This window comes from Homo sapiens, chromosome 1 (assembly GCF_000001405.40).
Source record: "Homo sapiens chromosome 1, GRCh38.p14 Primary Assembly".
In the NCBI taxonomy this organism is placed as follows: Eukaryota; Metazoa; Chordata; class Mammalia; order Primates; family Hominidae; genus Homo; species Homo sapiens.
Genome location: NC_000001.11, coordinates 211,698,522 through 211,701,225, shown reverse-complemented (window position 1 = coordinate 211,701,225; position 2,704 = coordinate 211,698,522). Strand labels below are relative to the sequence as shown.

The following is a 2,704-nucleotide window of genomic DNA, read 5'->3' as shown; positions in this document are numbered from 1 at the left end:
TGGGCTCAATAATTTGCTAGAATGGCCCACAGATTCAATGGCCCACAGATCTCAGAGAAACACTACATTTACCAGCTTATTATAAAGGACACAACTCAGGAACAGTTAGATGGGAGATGGATAGGGCGAGGTAGGGGTGGGGCAGGGGGTAGGGCTTCCACGTCCTCTCTGGGCACCCACCCTCCAGCACCTCCATGTGTTCTGTAGTCTAGAAGCTCATCAGATCTCACTGTTCAAGAGTTTTCACAGACCTCAAAATCCAGCACCCAACTCCCATTCCCAGAGGCTGAAGGGTGGGTGGGGCAGGTGAGGGTGCAGTTTGAAATAATATATATTGATGATGCTCCAGCAGTTTTAAGCAAAATCTTGAGCCATTTATGTCCAGAATTTTTGACAAACAAAACCAGACAAAACAACCAATCCCACAAAACAAAACTAAACAAAACTAAACAAAAACCAACCAGCCAAACAACCAAACCCAACCAAAAAACCCTAGAATTCATTGTTTTGCGATGCACTGTCACACTGAATCATGCCTGTAACTGATGTTCTAGAAGAGTTCAGTTTCCTCTAAGGGTAATCAGTTATGTGATAAAGAGGTGTTAAATACTTGGTGATGATTTAAAATCCAATCTTAATTTGGTCCCACCTTGAGATCTGTTCATCTTTTTTTTTTTTTTTTTTTTTTTTTTGAGACAGAGTCTCGATCTATCTCTCAGGCTGGAGTGCCGTGCAGTGGTGCAATCTTGGCTCACTGCAGCCTGGACCTTCTAGGCTCAAGAGATCCTCCTTCCTCAGCTCCCCTGAGTAGCTGGGACCACAGGCATGTGCTACCCCATCCAGCTAATTTTAAACTTTTTTTGTAGAGACAGGGTCTCACTATGTTGCCCAGATTGGTCTCGGACTCCTGGGGTCAAGCGATTCTCCTGCCTGGGCCTCCCAAAGTGCTGGGGAGATCTGTTCATTCTTTTTTTCTTTTCTTTTCTTTTTTCTTCTTCTTCTTTCCTTCCTTCCTTCCTTCCTTCCTTCCTTCCTTCCTTCCTTCCTTCTTTCTTTCTTTTCTTATTGAGACAGGGTCTTGCTCTGTCACCCAGGCTGAAGTGCAGTGGCGCGATCTGGGCTCACTGTAATCTCTGCCTTCCAGGTTCAAGCAATTCTTCTGCCTCAGCCTCCCGAGTAGCTGGGACTACTGGTGCACGCCACCATGCCCGGCAAATTGTTGTATTTTTAGTAGAGACAGGGCTTCACCATATTGGCCAGGCTGGTCTCGAACTCCTGACCTTGTGATCCGCCCACCTCTGCCTCCCAAAGTGCTGGGATTACAGTCATGAGCCACCACACCCGGTGATCTGTTCATTCTTAATGGAAAAATGCTTGATACTTTATAAGCCAAATGGTGACACAATTGGCCCTATTTTAGTCCAACAGGGAAAAAGGCAAAAATTATACATTTCAGCAGACCTGGTACATTTGATAGCTTAAACTGACATAAAAATTGTCTTCTAAAACTAAGATAAAACAAAATGGGGATAGTGATACTTCCTCATGGAGTTGTGGGAAGGGTGGAGTGAGATTCATGTGCAAAGAGTTTGCACAGTGCCTGGCACATCAAGGACATTGATGGGTGAGAGTCCCCAGTGTTGGGACCATTGCTGGGGTGGGAGTGGCCTGTGCCTCCAGCAGGGAAGAAGGGCAGATGAGCTTTCCGGAACGTACTCCTCAGAACCTGGGTCCTAAGTCTGTTTGCACGCATGTGCCCTGCGTGTATTCTCTGCCGGGGCATTAGCGGACAGGGACCCTTCTCCACATGAAAGCACTCGGGGAATCACGGCTTGCTGAAGCCAGAGCACAAGGCGGAGATCACCTGCACCAACCCATCCTACATGGAAAGGACAGCTGAGTCCCGAGAGGGCCGTAGGGTCACAACTTCCTAGGAAGCCGGGGCTGGAGCCAGGCCCCCTGCCTGCCCTCTCTGTCGCTGTGCCCCGCTCTGTGCTCCACAGGCAGCTCCTCAGCCGCAGCGCCTTCAGTTCCATCTGGTCTAGAGGGAAGGGAGTGCGGGTCGCCCGGCCCCTGGAAGCTCACCTCTAAAGCCCCAAGGGCACCGTAGGGGAGGCTGTGTCCACAAAGGCTCCTAGGAGGAGCTTTCATGACACTTTATGAGAAAAAGTCCCACAGTCCTGCACTGAGCCTTCACCTCACCTGAGCTCTTCTCAAAGTCAAGTCATAGCGGGCGGGGGACGGGGGGCGGGGGGCGGAAACTGAAGTGCAGAGTGAAGGGCTCTGAGAAAGCACTCCCAGGCCTGGGCCAACAGGCCCCGTGGCACCTTCGGGAACATCTCTGTGCATGAAAAGCTGCAGTCTGCTGTTACTGTTTCAGTAACGGGGTCAATATTTCTATATCCGGACACTGCGCAGTCTCTAGGCCTCCCGAGGGTTTGAGTTCTCCGGAGTCCAGACTCATAAACCACACCTCCCTCCCTCTGCAAAAAAGAGCGTGCGGGTCCAGGTAGGTGAGCGGCGGCGCTGTCCCTTCAGCTCCAGGAGGGAGAGGGCGCCCCCACCTGGTTACAGGCAGCATGGCAGCGAGAGGCCAGGGCTGAACGCGGCGCAGGATCCTCTCCTGGTGGCCTTGTCCCTGGGTGCCCCTCAGAACCACCCGGGGACATCCCCAAATTACAGAAACCTGGACCCTCACCACAGA

At 51.1% G+C, this 2,704-nt stretch overlaps 1 annotated feature.

Moving 5' to 3' along the window:
* Positions 2,201 to 2,260: a silencer, noted in NCBI's record as "silent region_1791". NCBI's record gives its function as "represses an Ori minimal core promoter by ATAC-STARR-seq in GM12878 lymphoblastoid cells {active_cell/tissue: GM12878}" and the evidence as "EXISTENCE:reporter gene assay evidence [ECO:0000049][PMID:35858748]".